Source organism: Homo sapiens, chromosome 11 (assembly GCF_000001405.40).
Source record: "Homo sapiens chromosome 11, GRCh38.p14 Primary Assembly".
Lineage (NCBI taxonomy): Eukaryota > Metazoa > Chordata > Mammalia > Primates > Hominidae > Homo > Homo sapiens.
In genome coordinates, this window is record NC_000011.10 from 75116839 (window position 1) to 75140715 (window position 23877).

General features: G+C 44.2%; 1 long non-coding RNA gene and 1 pseudogene across 1 annotated transcript; both read right to left on the reverse strand.

Annotated features, from left to right (window-relative positions):
- OR2AT1P (olfactory receptor family 2 subfamily AT member 1 pseudogene) lies at positions 14265–15034 on the reverse strand (annotated as a pseudogene).
- Positions 15563–23288, reverse strand: LOC107984358 (uncharacterized). The gene is made up of 3 exons (XR_001748297.2): positions 23247–23288; positions 16981–17091; positions 15563–15638 (listed from the first exon to the last, which is right to left on the reverse strand). It is a non-coding gene; the product is annotated as an uncharacterized LOC107984358 (long non-coding RNA).
- Between the last annotated feature and the right edge of the window lie 589 nt (positions 23289–23877).

The window sequence follows — 23877 nt, forward strand, 5'->3', positions numbered from 1 at the left end:
GCTGTTTTATTAGTTATTTCTAAAAGTTCTATTTCATTCTTTTTTCAAAAGTTTTAGGTCACTTTTTATATTTTCTTGTTTTATTCAAATATTTTTAATCATCTTTTATCTATTTAAACATAATAAGAATAGTTTTGTATGTGACTGTTTATTCCAATACTCATTTATGTTTTTCTGCCTAGTCTCACTCTGGTGCTTTTATTTATTTCCTTGTGGGCCTGGTGGATCCTTTGAGCCCAGTAGTTTGAGACCAGCCTGGACAACATGGTGAAGCCCTGTCTCTACAAAAAAATAAATAAATAAGCTGGGCATGGTGACATGCACCTGTAGTCCCAGGTGTTCCTCAAGAAGCTGGAGTGGCAGGATCTCTTGAACCCAGGAAGGTGGAGGTTGCAGTGAGTCAAGATCACAGCACTGCACTCCAGCCTGGGCAAGAGAGGGACACCCTGAAAAAAAAATGAAAGGTAGAAAGAAAGAAAAAGAGAGAAAGAAAGAAGGAAGGAAGGAAGGAAGGAAGGAAGGAAGGAAAGAAGAAAGAAAGAAAGAAAGAAAGAAAGAAAGAAAGAAAGAAAGAAAGAAAGAAAGAAAGAAAGAAGAAAGAGAGAAAGAAAGAAGAAAGAAAGAAAGAAAGAAAGAAAGAAAGAAAGAAAGAAAGAAAGAAAGAAAGAAAGAAAAGGAAAGAAGGAAAGAAGAAAGAAAGAAGAAAAATAATTTAAATCTAGGGATGAATCAAATTTCTTCTAGCAGAAAAATAATTTAAATCTAGGGATGAATCAAATTTCTTCTAGGAGGATTTATGTTTGTTTTTATCAGGCACTTGAGGACACTCCAGGACCACCTTAAGCAAAGGTAAGTTATGAGGTTCCTTAGACTACCCAGGAGATATGATCCTGGGATCCAGATCTTCAGAAGGTCTATCATAATTCTGGCTCACTGATTAAAGGATGTAGCCCATTGAAGTTCAAGGTTATTGTGGTGAAGTAACTCTTCATTAAATTCTCCACCTTAAGCATCTTTGGTCTTTTATTTCTGTCCCCTCCCACTTCCCCATCCCATGAGGCAAACAAGTAAAAATCTGAATTTTCAAGGTTAGAAATGTTTGTTACTTTGTCTCACAAAATTCCCTCAGAGAAAATTCCGCTTCTTTTCTTTGCCTGTCTGTATTCCTTCCAATTTTGGCCTCGTTGTTCCATAGTATCTTATCAACTCTATAATGTAACTTTTACATTTAAATATGCAATCTAGAATTTTTCATTCTTTTCACTGGGAAGTTTAATCTGAATAACCTAATCCACCAGAACCCACCACTGAACAATTTCAAAAGAATAAAAAACTCAAGGATCAAACTGAGTTAGTTTACTTTTTACAGGCTTAAGTGAAGTACATTTAAAAGGCAGGGAGGGGGCCGGGTTGGGTGGCTCACTCCTGTAATTCCAGCACTTTGGAAGGCCAAGGCAGGCGGATCACCCAAGGTCAGGAGTTCGAGACCAGCCTGGCCAACACAGTAAAACCCTGTCTCTACTAAAAATACAAAATTAGCTGGGCATGGTGGTGTGTGCCTGTAATCCCAGCTACTCAGGAGGCTGAGGCAGGAGAATCACTTGAACCCAAGAGACAGAGGTTGCAGTGAGCTGAGATTGTACCATTGCATGATCTCAGCTTGGAGAATGAAAATCCGTCTCAAATAAAAAAAAAAGAAAAAAGAAAAGAAAAGAAAAAAAAGAGGCAGGGAGTACAGCTAGAAGTAGATAAGAAAGTATATAGCTGTCATGCAAACCTACAACTATATGATTGCTAATGCCCAAATTAGAAATTCATCACATGCATTGTAAAAACTGCAGCTTAATCAAATACTGCAAATACCCAAATACAGTCTGTTTTATGGTCAGTGTTGCTCTGATTCGCAAAGAGTGAGACTGTGGCAACTGGATGAGGATATATGGGAAGAGCCAGAGGAGCTGAGGATGCTTGACTCTCCAGCCTCCTCTGAAACACATCCTACCCTATCCTTCACACTTTCACACTTGATAAAGGTGGCAGAGCCTTTAATTATGAAGCCAGCCCAATGTTTAATGTTGAAATCCCAGAGTTTGCAGTGGAAGTGGCAATATGCAATGACAGATTAGGAAAGACAGGGATCTGCTCCCCCATTATCTTGTTCCCCTACCCACATTAGTCTATTCTGCAACAGGGCCTGAGGCTCAGTCATTAAGGAAAGGATAACAGGTATGGAAGGAGCAAGGGTTTAGTTAAGGGGGTTGACACTAAGTAAAAGTAATCTTGGGGGTTCTCCACTGTAGACCAAGAACAGCTCTGAAAAATCAGCATTATTCCTGATAGTCCAACTGTCCCCTCTACCAAATTATACTTCTAGATATGGGCAATGCAAATTATATGTTAGCCTTTTTAGATTATGGTTTTAAGGACTTGAAGGTTCAAAATATGACCTTTTCAGCTCGGAAGCCAAGATGGCCAAATAGGAACAGCTCCAGTCTACAGCTCCCAGCATGAGTGACACAGAAGATGAATGATTTCTGCATTTCCAACTGAGGTACTGGGTTCATCTCACTGGGGATTGTTGGACAGTGGGTGCAGGACAGTGGGTGCAGTGCACCGAGCGTGAGCCAAAGCAGGGCGAGGCATCGCCTCACCCAGGAAGCACAAGGGGTCAGGGAATTCCCTTTCCTAGCCAAGGAAAGGGGTGACAGATGGCACCTGGAAAATCAGGTCACTCCCACCCTAATACTGCGCTTTTCCAACAGTCTTCACAAACGGCACACCAAGAGATTATATCCCGGGCCTGGCTCAGAGGGTCCTACACCCACGGAGCCTTGCTCATTGCTAGCACAGCAGTCTGAGATCAAACTGCAAGGCGGCAGTGAGGCTGGGGGAGGGTTGCCCGCCATTGCCGAGGCTTGAGTAGGTAAACAAAGCAGCTGGGAAGCTTGAACTGGGTGGAGCCCACCACAGCTCATGGAGGCCTGCCTGCCTCTGTAGACTCCACCTCTGGGGGCAGGGCATAGCCAAACAAAAGGCAGCAGAAACCTCTGCAGACTTCAATGTCCCTGTCTGACAGCTTTGAAGAGAGTAGTGGTTCTCCCAGCACGCAGCTTGAGATCTGAGAACGGACAGACTGCCTCCTCAAGTGGGTCCCTGACCCCCGAGTAGCCTAACTGGGAGGCACCCGGCAGACTGACACCTCATACGGCCGGGTACTCCTCTGAGACAAAACTTCCAGAGGAACAATCAGGCAGCAACATTTGCTGTTCACCAATATACGCTGTTCTGCAGCCTCTGCTGCTGATACCCAGGCAAACAGGGTCTGGAGTGGACCTCCAGCAAACTCCAACAGACCTGCAGCTGAGGGTCTTGACTGTTAGAAGGAAAACTAACAAACAGAAAGGACATCCACACCAAAACCCCATCTGTACGTCACCATCATCAAAGACCAAAGGTAGATAAAACCACAAAAATGGGGAAAAAACAGCAGAAAAACTGAAAATTCTAAAAATCAGAGCACCTCTCCTCCTCCAAAGGAATGCAGCTCCTCACCAGCAACGGAACAAAGCTGGATGGAGAATGACTTTGACGAGTGGAGAGAAGAAGGCTTCAGGCGATCAAACTACTCCGAGCTAAAGGAGGAAGTTGGAACCCATGGCAAAGAAGTTAAAAACCTTGAAAAAAGATTAGATCAATGGCAACTAGAATAACCAATGCAGAGAAGTCCTTAAAGGACCTGATGGAGCTGAAAACCATGGCACAAGAACTACGTGACGAATGCACAAGCTTCAGTAGCCGATTCGATCAACTGGAAGAAATGGTATCAGCGGTGGAAGATCAAATGAATGAAATGAAGTGAGAAGAGAAGTTTAGAGAAAAAAGAGTAAAAAGAAATGAACATAGCCTCCCAGAAATATGGGACTATGTGAAAAGACCAAATCTACGTCTGATTGGTGTACCTGAAAGTCACGGGGAGAATGGAACCAAGCTAGAAAACACTCTTCAGGATATTATCCAAGAGGTCTTCCCCAATCTAGAAAGGCAGGCCAACATTCAAACTCAGGAAATACAGACAATGCCATAAAGATACTCCTCGAGAAGAGCAACCCCCAGACACATAATTGTCAGATTCACCAAGGTTGAAATTAAGGAAAAAATGTTAAGGGCAGCCAGAGAGAAAGGTTGGGTTACCCACAAAGGGAAGCCCATCAGACTAATAGTGGCTCTCTTGGCAGAAACCCTACAAGCCAGAAGAGAGTGGGGGCCAATATTCAACATTCTTAAAGAATGTTAAAATTTAAAAAATTAAAGAATGTTAAAAATTCTTAGAGAAAAGCATTTTCAACCCAGAATTTCATATCCAGCCAAACTAAGCTTCATAAGTGAAGGAGAAATAAAATACTTTACAGACAAGCAAATGCTGGAGATTTTGTCACCACCAGGCCTGCCCTAAAAGAGCTCCTGAAGGAAGCACTAAACATGGAAAGGAACAACCAGTACCAGCCACTGCAAAAACATGCCAAATTGTAAAGACGATTGATGCTAGGAAGAAACTGCATCAACTAACGAGCAAAATAATCAGCTAACATCATAATGACAGGATCAAATTCACACATAACAATATTAACCTTAAATGTCAATGGGCTAAATGCTCCAATTAAAAGACACAGACTGGCAAATTCGATAAAGAGTCAAGACCCATCAGTGTGCTGTATTTAGGAAACCCATCTCACGTGCACAGACACACACAGACTGAAAATAAAGGGATGGAGGAAGATCTACCAAGCAAATGGAAAACAAAAAAAGGCAGGGGTTCCAATCCTAGTCTCTGATAAAACAGACTTTAAACCAACAACGATCAAAGAGACAAAGAAGGCCATTACATAACGGTAAAGGGATCAATTCAACAAGAAGAACTAACTATCGTAAATATATATGCACTCAATACAGGAGCATCCAGATTCATAAAGCAAGTCCTTAGAGACCTACAAAGAGACTTAGACTCCCACACAATAATAATAAGAGACTTTAACACCCCACTGTCAACATTAGACAGATCAATGAGACAGAAAGTCAACAAGATATCCAGGAATTGAACTCAGCTCTGCACCAAGCGGACCTAATAGACATCTACAGAACTCTCCACCCCAAGTCAACAGAATATACATTCTTTTCAGCACCACACCACACTTATTCCAAAATTGACCACATAGTTGGAAGTAAAGCACTCCTCAGCAAATGTAAAAGAACAGAAATTATAACAAACTGTCTCTCAGACCACAGTGCAATCAAACTAGAACTCAGGATTAAGAAACTCACTCAAACCCGCTCAACTACATGGAAACTGAACAACCTGCTCCTGAATGACTACTGGGTACATAACGAAATGAAGGCAGAAATAAAGATGTTCTTTGAAACCAACGAGAACAAAGACACAACATACCAGAATCTCTGGGACACATTCAAAGCAGTGTGTAGAGGGAAATTTATAGCACTAAATGCCCACAAGAGAAAGCAGGAAAGATCTAAAATTGACACCCTAACATCGCAATTAAAAGAACTAGAGAAGCAAGAGCAAACACATTCAAAAGCTAGCAGAAGGCAAGAAATAACTAAGATCAGAGCAGAACTGAAGGAAATAGAGACACAAAAAACCCTTCAAAAAAATCAATGAATCCAGGAGCTGGTTTTTTGAAAGGATCAACAAAATTGCTAGACCGCTAGCAAGACTAATAAGAAGAAAAGAGAGAAGAATCAAATCGATGCAATAAAAATGATAAAGGGGATATCACCACCAATCCCACAGAAATACAAACTACCATCAGAGAATACTATAAACACCTCTACGCAAATAAACTAGAAAATCTAGAAGAAATGGATAAATTCCTCGATACATACACCCTCCCAAAACTAAGCCAGGAAGAAGTTGAATCTCTGAATAGACCAATAACAGGCTCTGAAATTGAGGCAATAATTAATAGCTTACCAACCAAAAAAAGTCCAGGACCAGATGGATTCACAGCCGAATTCTACCAGAGGTACAAGGAGGAGCTGGTACCATTCCTTCTGAAACTATTCCAATCAATAGAAAAAGAGGGAATCCTCCCTAATTCATTTTATGAGGCCAGCATCATCCTGATACCAAAGGCGGGCAGAGACTCAACAAAAAAAGAGAATTCTAGACCAATATCCCTGATGAACATCGATGCAAAAATCCTCAATAAAATACTGGCAAACCGAATCCAGCAGCACATCAAAAAGCTTATCCACCACGATCAAGTGGGCTTCATCCCTGGGATGCAAGTCTGGTTCAACATATGCAAATCAATAAACGTAATCCAGCATATAAACAGAACCAAAGACAAAAACCACATCATTATCTCAATAGATGCAGAAAAGGCCTTTGACAAAATTCAACAGCCCTTCATGCTAAAAACTCTCAATAAATTAGGTATTGATGGACGTATCTCACAATAATAAGAGCTATCTATGACAAACCCACAGCCAATATCATACTGAGTGGGCAAAAACTGGAAGCATTCCCTTTGAAAACTGGCACAAGACAGGGATGCCCTCTCTCACCACTCCTATTCAACAGTGTTGGAAGTTCTGGCCAGGGCAATTAGGCAGGAGAAGGAAATAAAGGGTATTCAATTAGGAAAAGAGGAAGTCAAATTGTCCCTGTTTGCAGATGACATGATTGGATATCTAGAAAACCCCATCATCTCAGCCCAAAATCTCCTTAAGCTGATAAGCAACTTCAGCAAAGTCTCGGCATACAAAATCAATGTACAAAAACTACAAGCATTCTTATACACCAACAACAGACAAACAGAGAGCCAAATCATGAGTGAACTCCCATTCACAATTGCTTCAAAGAGAATAAAATATCTAGGAATCCAACTTACAAGGGACGTGAAGGACCTCTTTAAGGAGAACTACAAACCACCGCTCAATGAAATAAAAGAGGATACAAACAAATGGAAGAACATTCCATGCTCATGAGAAGGAAGAATCAATATCGTGAAAATGGCCATACTGCCCAAGGTAATTTACAGATTCAGTGCCATCCCCATCAAGCTAACAATGACTTTCTTCACAGAATTGGAAAAAACTACTTTAAACTTCATATGGAACCAAAAAAGAGCCCACATCGCCAAGTCAATCCTAAGCCAAAAGAACAAAGCTGGAGGCATCACGCTACCTGACTTTAAACTATACTACAAGGCTACAGTAACCAAAACAGCATGGTACTGGTACCAAAACAGAGATATAGACCAATGGAACAGAACAGAGCCCTCAGAAATAATGCCACATATCTACAACTATCTGATCTTTGACAAACCTGATAAAAACAAGAAATGGGGAAAGGATTCCCTATTTAATAAATGGTGCCGGGAAAACTGGCTAGCCATATGTAGAAAGCTGAAACTGGATCCCTTCCTTACACCTTATACAAAAATTAATTCAAGATGGATTAAAGACTTACATATTAGACCTAAAACCATAAAAACCCTAGAAGAAAACCTAGGCATTACCATTCAGGACATAGGCATGGGCAAGGACTTCATGTCTAAAACACCAAAAGCAATGGCAACAAAAGTCAAAATTGACAAATGGGATCTAATTAAACTAAAGAGCTTCTGCACAGCAAAATAAACTACCATCAGAGTGAACAGGCAACCTACAGAATGGGAGAACATTTTTGCAATCTACTCATCTGACAAATGGCTAATAACCAGAATCTACAATGAACTCAAACAAATTTACAAGAAAAAAACAAACAACCCCATCAAAAAGTGGGCAAAGGATATGAACAGACACTTCTCAAAAGAAGACCTTTATGCAGCCAAAAGACACATGAAAAAATGCTCATCATCACTGGCCGTCAGAGAAATGCAAATCAAAACCACAATGAGATACCATCTCACACCAGTTAGAATGGTGATCATTAAAAAGTCAGGAAACAACAGGTGCTGGAGAGGATGTGGAGAAATAGGAACACTTTTACACTGTTGGTGGGACTGTAAACTAGTTCAACCATTGTGGAAGTCAGTGTGGTGATTCCTCAGGGATCTAGAACTAGACATACCATTTGACCCAGCCATCCCATTACCGGGTATATACCCAAAGGATTATAAATCATGCTGCTACAAAGACACATGCACATGTATGTTTATTGCGGCACTATTCACAATAGCGAAGACTTCGAACCAACCCAAATGTCCAAAAATGATAGACTGGATTAAGAAAATGTGGCACATATACACCATGGAATACTATGCAGCCATAAAAAATGATGAGTTCATGTCCTTTGTAGGGACATGGATGAAGCTGGAAACCATCATTCTAAGCAAACTATCACAAGGACAAAAAACCAAACACCCCATGTTCTCACTCATAGGTGGGAATTGAACAATGAGAACACATGGACCCAGGAAGGGGAACATCACACACCAGGGCCTGTTGTGGGGTGGGGGGAGGGGGAAGGGATAGCATTAGGAGATATACCTAGTGTTAAATGATGAGTTAATGGGTGCAGTACACCAACATGGCACATGTATACATATGTAACAAACCTGCACGTTGTGCATATGTACCCTAAAACTTAAAAAATAATAAAAAAGACCTTTTCTAGACTGGTAACTACTTGAAAACCCTAATGGCTAGTACAATCATCATATTATCTCAGCTCAGTGAAGTCTTGACTCCTAGGTTTGGTAGCCCAAGACCAAGGTGGCTGGTTCATTTTCAGCTAATCCAGTGACATTTCAAATCAGACAGGCTGTGTGGTTTTGGAATCAAGTATATTCAGTGACTAGTTGTCAAGTTAACTGTTGAGGGTCATTAAGGGGGCCCAATTACCATACCTCTTTTCCCCACTTCAGTTCTGAATGAATTGTGGGTCTGAACAAAAGCAGAGGGCATGTAATATCACTAGGTTGAAGGACATGGCATATATCCAAGAGCATGGGACTTCTTAAAACGAAACTCCAAAATTAGAGAGATTCCTGCCCAGCCCTAGGCATGGTAGAACCACCCCAAATATCCCTGCATGAGAAAAAGCCTCTATAAAATGCCCAAATGGAGGAGCAGAGGAGCATGTAAGGAAGGAGGCGAGAGAGAAGAGAGAAGTTATGCTAAGCATATTCAGATTAGTCTTCCCAAGCAGACTTTAAGTCATCCTAAATGTCCCAGGATACAGTGGCCAATAGGACAAGAAAAGGTCAAAAGCATTCCATGAACTGAATTCCCTCCACATGGAAGAAACGTCAGGAAGAATCATTTCCTCAGTGCTGGCCATTTCTTTTTGAGCTATTCAGTACTTGTATACAGGGGATGCAGTAACTTGTTGGTTGACTAATGAGTTTTTTATTTTAGCTGTTCTCAGTGCTATTGAGGAATCAACTGAATTATTTCAGGTACTTGTTGCTACGATAGGAGAGACAATATCACTATCTGGGTAAAAGAAGGGTTTTACATTTCAAAACATCTCTTCTTGGGAGCATTGCTGACATATGGACAGATTTAATTGTACATAGATAAGGCATACATAACAAATGTTCCATTTTGTTCCTCAACCCATTCTTTCTGTTTTGGGAGAAAAAGCTAACCTTGCAATTGGCTGTGTTTCGTATTGGGAAACTGACATGTGTAACTGCCTAATGGCCAAGTATTTTGGGGGGGTTTCAATGAGTACTTCTTGGTCATAGTAAAGAATATGGCAAAGGAAGTTTGGCAATCTTATCAAGCAAGACAGAGAGACAATTCTGAAGTCTGAGACAGTCTGTCATTAAACCTAAGATTACAGTTTTGCCCAAGTTTACTCCTAGTCATTGTAATATTCCGGGAGGACTACTGTTTTATAGGGCAAGAGATCTGTGTTTGAGTCTTGGCTCTGGCATTGACTTGCTATGTGACATTGGGAAAGTGTTATGAGCCTCAGTTTTCATAACTGTAAAATGGGAAATGTAAAACCAGATGATCTGTTTTTTCCAGCCTTGATATTCTGGGACTCCTCATTCTAACCAAAAGGTTTTCAGATGTCTCCCAGTGACGATGGGAGTGAAAGCCATTCTTCTCCCTGTGAAACACTATGATATGGCCAACACTTCACCCTGTCATTCTCATGAGGCATAAGCTCCCTTGTACAGGATCTTATTGTGCATGGACCATATAAAATTACAACCAAGAACACATATGTAATTGAAAAGGAAAATTTGGCTGGGCTCGGTGGCTCACACCTGTAATCCCAGCACTGTGGGAGGCTGAGGCGGGTGGATCACCTGAGGTCAGGAGTTCGAGACCAGCCTGGCCAACATGGTGAAACCCTGTGTCTACTAAAAATACAAAAATTAGCCAGGCGTGGTGGTGCATGCCTATAATCCCAGCTACTAGGGAGGCTGAGGCAGGAGAATTGCTTGAATCTGGGAGGCGGAAGTTGCAGTGATTCGAGATTGCACCACTGCACTCCAGCCTGGGCAACAGAACGAGACTCCATCTCAAAAAAAAAGGAAAGGAAAATTTTTAACCAAGTATAATTGGCTTTCCACATTTTCTTTCTTTCTTTCTTTCTTTCTTTCTTTCTTTCTTTCTTTCTTTCTTTCTTTCTTTCTTTCTTTCTTTCTCTCTCTCTCTCTCTCTCTCTCTCTCTCTCTCTCTCTTTCTTTCTTTCTTTCTTTATTTCTCTCTTTCTTTTCTTTCTTTCGACAGGGTCGCACTCTGTCCCCCAGGTTGGAGTGCAGTGGCATGATCTCGGCTCGCTGCAACCTCTGCCTCCAGGGCTCAAGCAATTCTCCTACCTCAGCCTCCTGAGTAGCTGGGACTACAGGCATGTGCTGCCATGCCTGGCTAATTTTTGTATTTTTTATAGAGATGGGGTTTCACCATGTGCCCAGGCTCCTCTCAAACTCCTCAGCTCAGGTGGTCTACCCATCTCAGCCTCTTCCACATTTTCCAATTAATATATATTTGGTATTTATTTATTCCTCATCTCCACCACTAACATGTTATATAGCATATCCTAACAGATGTAATTCTGGCTAAGAGAGTGTTCTGGAAGGAAATGAAGAGACTGGTTATTTGGTCTGTCCTACCATGGGCATCAAACTATTAAGAGTGACAGTCAGATGTTTCCACTTAATGCAGAAATCTGTTTATGATACCGGGGTTAATTCCTTAACGGGTATATTAAAAAGCTAATTTGAAGTTTAGCTTGGGAATAATTGAACCCATACTCTGAACCGAGAATTATATGTAGTTTATTATACTATTGACATAAACATAAAACCATACCACAAAACCTAAAGGAAATACTAATTGCAATTTACAGCCAGGTGCCTGGAATCCTAGCACTTTGGGAGGCCAAGGTGGAAGGATGGCTTGAGGCCATGAGTTCAAGACCAGCCTGGGCAACATAGTGAGACCCCATGTCTACAAAAATAAAAATCAAAAAATTAGCCAGTCATGGTGGTGCATGCCTGTGGTTCCAGCTATGTGGGAGGCTGAGAAGGGAAGGTCAGTTGAGCCCAGGAGTTTGAGGTTACAATGAGCTATAATCACACCCCTGTACTCAAGCCTGTGTGATAGAGTGAGACCCTGTCTCTAATAATAATAATAATAATGAAAATTGCAATTTCCTCTGACTAAAAACTACCAAGAATCCGTGGCTCTAAGAAAGTCTTTGATCTTAGACTTGCCTGTATTCCTCATCTCTCACAGAGTCTGGTTCTACAGATGTCATGGGCTTGTTGCTTGTGGGTCTGCAGGATGTCATTTCCTCATATGAATACCCTTATTAATGGGGTTTGTGAAAAATTATCCACTTATTCAGTGTCCGGCTAAGTGCTGAGGCTTTCTTGCAGATTTACTTCCCTACAATATGCACCACAAAGTGCCAGCTTCCTGCTGTGTGCTCTCCTGACAATGGTGTTCCTTTCTGCCTGATTGGGACACACTGCAGCTCTGTCCATCCTTGCTCTGATCCTTGTGTGATTTCTAAGGAGAAGTGAGATTTAAACTCCTTTAGCAGTGTAGCAGGACAAGCCGCAGACAAAACTCCTTAGACACTGGATTAAAGAAGGAAGAGGTTTATTCGGCAGGGAGCATCAGCAGACTTGCATCTTAAGAGCCGAGCTCCTTGAAAAAGAAATTGTTGGCCTTTTCAAAGGCTTACAACTCTAAGGGGTCCACGTGAAAAGGTTGTGATAAATCGAGCAAGCCTGGGGAATGTGACTGGGGCTACACGCATCAGCTAACAAAACAGACAGTTTTGCAATGCTTTTTCATACAATGTCTGGAATTTAAAGATAACACAAGTAGTTTAGGTCAGGGGTTGATGTTATTATTATTACTTTTTTAACTCCTAGGGCCAGGTTGTGGTGCCAAGGTTGTCTGGCTACTTATCTTACTTCTGTTTCTTTCCAACTTTTTGCTTTCTCTCTTTCCTCCTGTCTTGTGAACTAGGCAAGGTGGAGGGGAGGAGGGCAGCAGGAGTAGTAGTGGTCTCCTTCCTTAGCAGGAAGCATCCCATTTTTTTTTTTTGAGATGGAGTTTTGCTCATGTTGCCCAGGCTGGAGTGCAGTGGCACAATCTCAGTTCACTGCAACCTCCATCTCCCAGGTTCAAGCGATTCTCCTGTCTCAGCCTCCTACGTAGCTGGGATTACAGGTGCCCGCCATCACACCCAGCTAATTTTTGTATTTTTACTAGAGACGGGGTTTCACCATGTTGGCCAGGCTAGTCTCAAACTCCTGACCTCAAGTGATCTGCCCATCTCGGCCTCCAAAAGTGCTGAGATTACAAGCATGAGCCACCACACCTGGTCATAAGCATCCCATCTTGATGGTCATCCAAACTAAAGATGAATCCTTCCAACTGGGCAGGAACATGGACAGTGTTACCACTCCCTGGTTGGAGCAGCTAGTGGTTTTCTTACCCAGTCTTTCCAAGCTCCCCAACCCTCCACTGCCTGTGTTGCTGATAAATGAGTACTTGCTAACAAATAAGTGATACTCAATGCCAAAAATATAAGAACTTACAGGAGAAAATTTTAACATTGAATTAAATGCTAACTTCTGAGCTCCTTCAACCCCTTTTGCTTCTCTTTGTCCTATCACCAGATGCTTTTTTCTCTCTGGGTCTGACTCCTACACTCAACTATAGATGCCTCCAGGGAAACAATTTTTGTCTGGTTCATTTCTGTCTCTAGCACCCAATATGAATTTTTATGAATGACTGAATGATAAAGTTTTATTCATTACATTAATGACGGATGAAAATTGTGAAGTCGGCCAGGCGTGATGGCTCACGCATTTAATCCCAGCACTTTGGGAGGCCAAGGTGGGCAGATCACCTGAGGTCAGGAGTTCAAGACCAGCCTGGCCAACGTGGTGAAACCCCATCTCAATTAAAAATACAAAAATTGGGGTGGGGGGAGGGGGGAGGGATAGCTTTAGGAGATATACCTAATGCTAAATGACAAGTTAATGGGTGCAGCACACCAGCATGGCACATGTATACATATGTAACTAACCTGCGCATTGTGCACATGTACCCTAATACTTAAAGTATAATAATAATAAAATAAAAATAAATAAAAATACAAAAATTAACTGGGTGTAGTGGCAGGTGCCTGTAATCCCAGCTACTTGGGAGGCTGAGGCAGGAGAATCACTTGAACCCAAGAGGCAGAGTTTGCAGTGAGCTGAGATTGTGCCACTACACTCTAGCCTGGGCGACAGAGTGAGACTCTGTCTCAAAAAAAAAAAAAAAAAAGGAAAGAAAGAAAAAAAGAAAAGAAAATAGTGAAGTCTGCAATTATTCTATAATTATTCTATAGTACTATTGGGAAAACTTCCTGATCCAGTATTTGAGAACCAGATTGTAGCTGTCTGCTCAAATAAACGAAACCAAATTAGATTGCTATAATTCATTTAAAAATATTTATTGAGTTGTTCTTCTGAGCTAGGTGCTGTCATTGGTATCCTGGGAGCTGAATTAGTTGGATCTAGGGATCTAGGGCCCCCAGAACACCCTAGCTCCTGGGGACATGCGATCTTGGTGATGGCTGCTTTGACATCCCTGTTCCTCAGCATGCAGGTGAGAGTGGAGAACAGGTGTGAGAATGGCATGGCATATACAGGGAGGGAAGGATGTATTAAAGAAGAAAGAAGAAGAAGGAGAAGGAGAAGAAGAGGAAGAGGAAGGAGAAGGAGAAGAAGAAGAAGAGGAAGACGAAGAGGAAGAGGAAGAAGAGGAAGAGGAAGAAGAAGAAGAAGAGGAAGAAGAAGACATGTACAACATTGCCCATGACGTGGAAGTCGAGGGGCAGGTCAGCGCTGTAGGCCACATAGGCTATGGCAATGGATGAGTAGTAGGTGCCCACTACCGGGAGATGGGAGCTGCAGGTGGAGAAGGCTTTGGAGCGTCCTTCTTGGGAGTTAATGCGAAGCACCGAGGTCAAGATGTGGGCATAGGAGAGAAGCACCAGGAGAAGGGGGAGGAAGGACACCACCATGGCGATGCAGAAACCCATGAAGGTCTGGGGGTGGTATCAGAGCAGGAGGCCTGGACCACAGCCAGATGATCACAGAAGCAGTGGTAGATGTCAGCAATGCTGTCAAATGCCATCTGGGAGGTCTGTACTACTGCTGGAATGGGCAGGAGGAGGGCAGTGAGCCAGGCACCGGTTGCCAAGACAGCATTGGTCTGTGGGTTCATGAGAACAGGGTATTGCAGTGGGTGGCAGATAGCTACATAGCGGTCATAGGCCATGACCACCAGGATGAAGGCTTCTGAGCAGGAGAAGCTGTGGAACAGGTACATCTGTAGGAAGCAGGCAGGGAAGCTGAGGAAGTGGTCCCCAAGCAAGAACAGGGGCAGCGTCTTGGGGACAGTGACTGTAGTGGAGAGGATGTCTAGGGCTGAGAGGTTTATCAGGAAGAAGTACACAGGCTTGTGAAGGCTGGCCTCTGCCATCACAACCACCAGGATCTGGTCATTACCCACCAGGATAAGCGGATAGATTAAGAAGAAAATCAAGGCCAGGCATGGTGGCTCACACCTGTAATCCCAGAACTTTGGGACGCCAAGGCAGGCAGATCTTTTGAGGCCAGGAGTTCAATACCAGCCTGGCCAACATTGTAAAATCCCATCTGTACTAAAAATATAAAAATTAGCCAGGCGGTAGGTGCCTGTAATCCCAGCTACTCCAGAGGCTGAGGTGGGAGGATTGCTTGAACCTGGGAGGTGGAGTTTGCAGTGAGCAGAGATTGCGCCATTGCACTCCAGCCTGGGCAACAAGAGCGAAGCTCCATCAAAAAAGAAAAAAGAAAGAAAGATAGAAACAAAGAGAGAGAGAAAGAAAGAGAGAAAGGAAAGGAAAGGAGAAAGAAGGAAGGAAGGGAGAAAGGAAGGGAGAAAGAAAAGAAAAGAAAAGAAAAGAAAAGAAAGGAAAAGAAAAGAAAAAAGGAAAGAAGAAAGAAAACCACAAAGACGGGAGTTGGGGGAAGAGGGACTCTGGCAGAGAGGGGATGCTGACCAGGCAGAAGACAGGCAAGGAGTCCTCTGATCCATTACAGGCTGTGGCCTCCACAGTGGGTCAGAGTTGGATGTCTGTAGACACACACTGGGAACATCTGGAAACCAGAGCAATCAAGGAAACATTCACTAGAACATGTATATTTTTCCTTTCCAACCATGGATCTCAGTCCCAACACTTTCTTTGTGCCAGGAATTGTATTGCACAATTAAGATTCCCAGAGTGGTGAGATGTCTAACAACAATGGCAGAAAGAGCTGGTCCTGTTCTGGGGGGAAGAGAGGTGGATACAAACACCTAAGAACTGTCAAAGAGAAGGAGCAACACTTACAAAGAAGTGGGGCCACTGTTAGCAGCTTCAGGGGCCCAGAGATCAATCCCACATATGGAAGCAGTTTCTTACCATTAGAATGACCCCATAATGAAGGCCGGGCGCGGTGGCTCATGCCTGTAATCTCAGCACTTTGGGAGGCCAAGGTGGGCAGATATCTGAGGTCAGGAGTTTAAAACTAGCCTGGACAACGTGGTAAAACCTTGTCTCTACTAAAAATACAAAAATTAGCCAGGCGTGGTGGCACATACCTGTAGTCCCAGCTATTCAGGAGGCTGAGGCAGGAAAATAACTTGAACTCTGGAGGCGGAGGTTGCAGTGAGCTGAGATTGCACCACTGCACTCCAGCCTGGGCAACAGAGTGAGACCCTGTCTCAAAAGAAAAAAAGAAAAAGAAAAAGAAAGAACAACTCCATAATGCAAAAACAGGCTTGATAATTAGTGAAGTCCATGTAACTAGAGGTTGCAAGGCTGAGGTCTTTTTCTGGAATGCTACAGAGATGTAGTACTTGGATAGCAGCTAGATTAAAAACCTTTAAGTGACCTTCTAACCCTAGATTCATTGCTTCTAAAAATAATAATAATAACATAAATGAATCACATGAACAAGATTGTAGCCAGGTACAGTGGCTCACACCTGTAATCCCAACACTTTTAGAGGCTAAGGCCAGAGGATCGCTTGAGGCCAGAAGTTTGAGACCAGCCAGGCAACATAGAAAGACCCCTTTTCTATAAAAAGTCAAAAAAGTTAGTCAGGCATTGTGACATGCACCTGTAATCGTAACTACCCCAGATGTGAAGGTAAGCCTAGGAGTTTGAGGCTGCAGTGAGCCATGATCACACCACTGCACTCTAAGCTGGGCAGCAGAGCAAGATCTTATCTTACAAAAATTAAAAAATAAGATTGCGGTGTTGGTGGGCAAATTTAACCTATTGGAGAGAAAAAAATCTGAGAGGCATCTGCTTGTGTTCAAATGCCAATTAAAAAATCAAGTAGCTCTTTTATTAGTTCAAGTAGCTCCTTTAAGGATGTCTGGTTTTTAGCCCAGTTCCCACTAGCACAGGTGAAGTAATCTTCTAGGTATGGTAATGTTGATGAATACACTTACCAGGTTTTGCCCACTCTAAGCACCAGGATCTTGACTGTAGTCATTTGACATAAGTCCATCCAGTCCAGCTATGCCTGCACGATTCCTGAATGGCGTTCTTTATCTTGGGACCTTGTGAAGACAGCAGAATCACTGGTTGGCAGTGAGTAAAGCTAAACTCTAGAGTGAAAACTATGTCGTTCATTCTAAGGTTCCCTTGATGGTGTGTTCCTCTCAGCCTGGAGGATTGTCAGGGGCCACCGATAAAGACTCCTAGCTCATGAGCTCTAGGGAACTGCTGGGAAAACTTCTTTGGGGATAGCCGGAACAATGGCTTCTGTCATGCTCTGGATTCCATTCCTCTTCTACGCCCCGCTCTATTCTCATCTCACTCTATCTGGGTCGGAATGTTATGTCTGAATCAGTGCCCTTTGTTTCAGTCTCTCCATTTCCATTCACATGAGAATTCCTTTTCTGTGATATCTTTCTCTTCAGCTGCTTCCTTCAAGAAGCACTTCAAAATGCTGTCTGCTTACCCCAGAAATAGCTTCCTCTTCTGTGTGCCTGTACAGGGGCTTGCTCTGTCTGTTTCTTTCTAGCCTGGGTGCCCTGGGACCTGTCTTTGTATCCTTTCTCTTTGTCATATCATACAGTGACCAACCATATTGATTTGCCCAGAACTGTCCTGGTTTCAGCACTGAAAGTCCCATGTCCTGTGAAACTCCTCTGTTGGTCACTCTCAGAGGGCAGAGACATTGTATGTGCCTTTGATAGAAGGAGTTATTTCCTGAATGGAACCCAAGTTGAAAATGAATTCACTCCCTATTAAGATAAAGCAGACCTGGGCTGGGTGCGGTGGCTCATGCCTGTAATCCCAACATTTTGGGAGGCTGAGGCAGATGGATCACCTGAGGTCAAGAGTTCAAGACCAGCCTGGCCAACATAGCGAGACCCTGTTTCTATAAAAAATAAAAATAACTTAAAAATACATTTTTTTAAAGCTGATAGGGGAGCTGATCTTGGTCAAGGCTACACAGAGAGCTATTGGCAGAGCCACACCAGAAACCAGATGCCTGCTCCCTGTTCAGGGCTCCCAGGTGTCCTCTGTGGGAGGGTCCCTGAAGCTTGCCTGTCTGGCAGCCCAGACAATACTGGGAGCTATCCATGTTCACATCTGCTTCCCTCACCAGACTAGGCGTTCCCTGGGGCCTGGGATGTGTTCTGACCCCTCTTCTACAAAATCAACATGTCAGTGGGGTCTGGGCACCTGGTTTCCCAGTTTTCCACAGGCAGACTGGACCATGACTGTCCTAACAACCTCAGAGCTTTCTGTCCAGTGCTGCTGCAGAATCAGACAACACTAGGCTCTATAGAGAGCTCCTAGTCCAGCTCCTGTATTGCTGCTGATACGCAGGGGGAGGCCCAGTGGGAGTTCTGACCCAGCCACAGTCACACAGATGGCAAACCAGCAGCATAGCCTGCCTGCCAGGAATGCTCTAAATCAGAGCACAAAGAGTTTGGCCCAGATCCCTTCTCTTAGAGCCCCTCTCCTAGCGGGATGAGGGTCCCTAACTGCCCACCTCCCCAGACGCTGCCCTCCCAGAGCCTAGCCCCTCCTTGGCTATGGCTGGCTTTGGGCACTTCACTTTCAGCCTTCATGCCCGAGACCTCTGCAGGTCAACCCAGCTCATCTGCCCAACCCAGGCCATGCCAGCTGCTCCTTCCTCTCCCGAAGTCAGTGCTGCCTCAGTGGGAAGAACCAGGTTGGAGCTGAGCCTATTTCCATTAAACTCCCAAGCTCTACCCCTTCCTGGCCTGCTGGGGCCTTGACCCCCAGAGGTTCCCTTTTACTGGGGCCCTGAATAATATTTTCTGGGGACCCCCAGGTGGCTGGTTAGCAGCTACCATGGGCTTTGCTGATAATTAGAACAACAAGATTAATAGTGCTTAGTGGGACACAGAACTTTATGGTCTATGGGGACTTTCCTATGTGTGGAGCAACCATTGGTATCCACATGTGGCAGATGAGGAAACAGGCTCAGAGGTGAAAGGGATTGCCCAAAGTCACACAGCAATCCAAACACAAGTCAGGATAGGAAGTCTCAGATTTCCTAACCCTCACTCCAGCCTCTGCACCAATGACACAAATGAAAAAGTTAGTGAAAATTTTCCGTGTAAATGTAAAAGGCTGTGCTATTGGTTGGTGGGACCCCTCAAGTGTATTGAAGCTGGAGGAACAAGCATGACAGAACAGAGAGCCACTCAGTCTTCCAAATCCTCACTCTCTTGCTCACTCTTGATCGTTCTTAGCGGCTGATATGGTTTGGCTCTGTGTCCCCACCCAAATCTCATCTTGAATTGTACTCCCATAATTCCCACGTTTTGTGGGAGGGACCCAGTGGGAGATAACTGAATCATGGAGGTGGTTTCCCCTCTACTGTTCTCTTGGTAGTGAACAAGTCTCATGAGATCTGATTATTTTATCAGGGGTTTCCACTTTTGAATCTTCCTCATTCTCTCTTTGCCTGCCACCATCCATGTAAGACGAGACTTGCTCTTCCTTGCCTTCTGCCATGATTGTGTGACTTCCCCAGCCAAGTGGAACTGTACGTCCAATAAACCTCTTCCTTTTATAAATTGCCCAGTCTCAGGTATGTCTTTATCAGCATCATGAAAAAGGACTAATACAGTAAATTGGTACCGATAGAGTGCGGCATTGCTGAAAAGATACCCAAAACTGTGGAAGCGACTTTGGAACTGGGTAACAGGCACAGGTTGGAACAGTTTGGAGGGCTCAGAAGATTGCCCAGTCTTGAGTATGTCTGTATCAGCAGTGTGAAAACAGACTAATACAGAGGCCTTATAATTCTAAGCCCGACCTCCTCCAGGGAGCCTTCTGTGACTTCATCTTCCTCCAGGCTCCAGTGCTCTTTCTCTCCTCTGGATTGACCAGGCCTGGCTGCCAATGCTGCCATTTTAAAGATTAAGATAACTGAGGTTCGTTTTTCATTCCACATTGAATAAGGCTGGCTTTGCACTGGGTGCATGGTCACAGGGAATTGACACAGTCTAGTGGGGTAGCCAGCCAAAACCCTGTCCATCATATCCACTGTGATCTGTGCTACCATAGAGCTGAAGGGCCCAGAGGAGGAAACAAAGCGACTTGCATCATGGAAGACATCTCTTAAATGGGTCATAAATTTCAAGCAGATGAATAGAGTGCAGGCCACAAAGGAGGGGGTAAACAAAGTCATGAAGTGTAGAAAAAGCAGGAGGTGTGTTAGAGGGGAGATAGAAGTTGGTTTGGGCTGCAATATAGAAGGAGAGACTGCGAGTCTCCAAAGATGAGGCTAAAGAGGTTGGCAGGGGCCAGAGGGAGGAGAGTCTTGAAGCCAAGAACAACCCTCAGCATGAGGACATTGGAAAGCCAGAACCAGGGCTCAGACAGAGGGCTAAGATAGTCAGCTACATGTTTGAGAAAGCTCATACCCACTGTGGCACGGGGAATGTCTTCGAGTAGGAGAGAGAGACCAGAGGCAGGGCAACCAGCCAGGAAGCTTGGTGGTGAGGAGAGGAATAGAGAGGAGTATTAATGACAATGATAGCAGATGATGGCTGCCCTTTATTGAGAGCTTACTTGTACTAATGGCTGTGCCCTGGTAGTCACATACTTCATTTCATTTAATCCAAGGAGCAATTTCCATTACCCTTGTTTTATGGATGAGGGAGCTCAGAGGGTTAAGTAACTAAGCCTGCTTTGGTCATTCTGCTGGATAAATAGTGAGTTAGTGTAGAGTCCAATCCATCTCCAAAGCCATGCCTCTTAACTATCAAAGCTTAGAGAATCTGGCTGGGCGTGGTGCCTCACGTCTGTAATCCCACTTTGGGAGGCTGAGGCGGGTGGATCACTTGAGGTCAGGAGTTCGAGATCAGCCTGGCCAACATGGTGAAACCCCAACTCTACTAAAAACATAAAAATTAGCCAGGGGTGGTGGCACATGCCTATAATCCCAGCTACTTGGGAGGCTGAGGCAGGAGAATCTCTTGAACCTGGGAGGCAGAGGTTGCAGTAAGCCAAGATCAAGCCACTGCATTCCAGCCCAGGCAACAGAGTAAGGAAAAAAAAAATTTGGAGAATCTTCAAGAGGTAGAATAGTCAGAATTTGACAACTGATTATGGAAAGGTCCAAGATGATGCCCAGTATTCTGGTTTGGGTGACGAGACAGATGGTGGTGATGTTGACTGATGTCTGGAGCTCAGGAGAGAGAGTGGATGCAGGCAAAGACTTGGGAGGCATATACTTATGATAGTGAACAAGATCACCTAGGGAGAGAGTGTAGTGTGAGAAGGACAGAACCATGGGGGGAAACAACATGAGACTGAGGCAGAACAAGAAATTTCTGTAAAAGATACTGAGAAACAACAGCCAGAGAGCGTGAAGCAAAACCAGGAGAGTGTTATATCACAGAAGCTCCCTAGGGCAGCTGTGGTCAGCAGCATCAAATGTTGCTGATGTGCCCAAGAGGACAAGAATCGGATGAAAAGTGTCTGTGGGGTCCAGTGATGAGGGGATCACTGGTGCCCCAGGTGTGAACAGGCCAGTGGAACAGTGAGCGTGGAAGGTTGGGAGTGAGTAAATGGAGAGAGAATAGATAACATCTTCAAGATGTTTAGCTGAAAAGAGATGTGGATGGTTGGAGGCTGATGAGATGTGTCCTAGGCAGTTCAGGGTTTTATAACAAAATACCTTAAACTGGGTCATTTGTAAACAACAGAAATTTATTGCTCACAGTTCTGGAGGCTGGGAAGTCCAAGATCAAGGTGCCAGTGGATCCAGTGTCTGGTGAGGGCTGCTCTCTGCTTCATAGATGGCACTTTCTAGCTGTGTCCTCACATGGTGGAAGGGACCAACAAGCTCTCTCAGGCCTCTTTTATAAGGGATGTAATCTCATTCAAGAGGGCTTTACCCTTACAAACTAATCACTTCCCAAAGGCCCCACCATTAAACACCATCACCCTAGAGGTTAGGTTTGCTTTATTAAAAAAAAGAAAATTTTTTTTGTAGAGACAGTATCTTGCTATGTGGCCCAGGCTTGTCTTGAACCCCTGGCCTCAAACAATCCTCCTGCCTTAGCCTCCCAAGTAGCTGGGAGCTGAGACCATGCCTGACCTTTTAAATTTTAATTTATTTATTCACTCATGCATTCATTTTTTTTTTTTTTTTAGATACAGGGTCTCACTCTGTTGCACTGGCTGGAGCGCAGTAGCACCATCATAGCTCACTGCCTCAAACTCCTGGGGTTAAGTGATCTTCCCGCCTCAGCCTCCCATATAGCTGGGATTACAGGCACATGCCACTATGCCCGGCTAGTGTTTTCCATTTCTGTAGAGACAGAGTCTCACTATGCTGCACAGGCTGGTCTTGAACTCTGGGCCTCAAGCAGTTCTCGCACCATGGCCTCCTAAAACACTGGGGTTACAGGTGTGAGCCACCACACCTGGCCAAGATTTAACATATGGATTTTGAAGGTCACAAACATTCAGACCATAGCAAGAAATCAGGGGGAATTTTGTTGTACTTTAAAAATTGGAGATATTTTAGCATATTTCCCACAATTCGTGGGTAGGAAGCAGCCAGTAGAGAGTGAGAGGATGAAGAGGATGGTCAATAGAGGAGGAGGAGGAGAGCTTCTGAAGCCAGTGTCTGGGCTCCCAGTGGGAGTGGGAGACAAGAGAGTAGAAAGAGTGCAGTAAAGGTCAGTGTGCAGATCTGGCGCTGCAGGGGGACGGCCTATCCTCACTTAAGACTGGAGTGGTAGGAGAATTTTGTGAAGATATTGAGACTGTAGAAGTGTTTGTTCCCCATTGAACGGGACTGGGAGGCAGTATAGTGGTTAAATGCTCCGATCTTGGTGCCAGACTAATTTGGATTCAAGCCTGGCATTTAGCTCTCTGAGAATCTGTTTTCTCTTCTGCAAAATGGAGGATTGATAATCAGGTATTTCTTTTTTTTTTTTCTTTTTTTTTTTTTTTTTTGAGATGGAGTCTTGCTCTGTCGCCCAGGCTGGAGTGCAGTAGTGCAATCTCTGCTCACTGCAACCTCCGCCTCCCAGGTTCAAGCAATTCTCTGCCTCAGACTCCTGAGTAGCTGGGATTACAGGCACCTGCCGCCACGCCTGGCTTTTTTTTTTTTTTTTTTTTTTTTTTTTTTGTATTTTTAGTAGAGACGGGGTTTTGCCACCTTGACCAGGCTGATCTTGAACTCCTGACCTCGTGATCCACTCACCTCGGCCTCCCAAAGTGCTGGCGTGAGCCACCATGCCCGGCCTCATCATCAGGTATTTCTTAAGTGCAAGCTCTGAGCTGGTGTAGTGCAGGTTGAGAAGAGGTAACAGTCACAAGCAGACGTCATAAACATTTCATCCAGGTTGCACAAGCCACTGTCCCTCTCCTGGGACCATGGGGAAGTCCAGACACTCACAGTCCATCCACTGTCTCCCTCCACAGAAATCGGAGAGGCACGGAAATGTCTTCAGCAGGAGCCCGTGTATTTCAGGAATACTTTTAAGCTAAGAACAAAAAAATAGCCCAACCCTTGAAGTTCCCCCTAAACCAGAGGCTGGCTGCCTGTGCCCTGTCCTGGCGCTGCTCTGCCCTGGAAACACTGGGAACGGTGGAGCTCTGTCTCTCTGTCTGGCCCCTACCGCCCTCACTCCCCCAGGTGTGCGAGGCTCCGACAGACGCGAGAGGCTGGAAAAGGAAAGTGCCAAAGGGAGGTTATGAATATGTCCAGAGAGAACCTGGGCCACCTTACCGACCATGCAGAGGAGGCCATGGAGCTCAGGGTAGGAGAGTCCAGAATGTGTCCCCAGTGCTGGGCCTCCGGCATACTCATCACCGCCACCATCCTCGCTGCC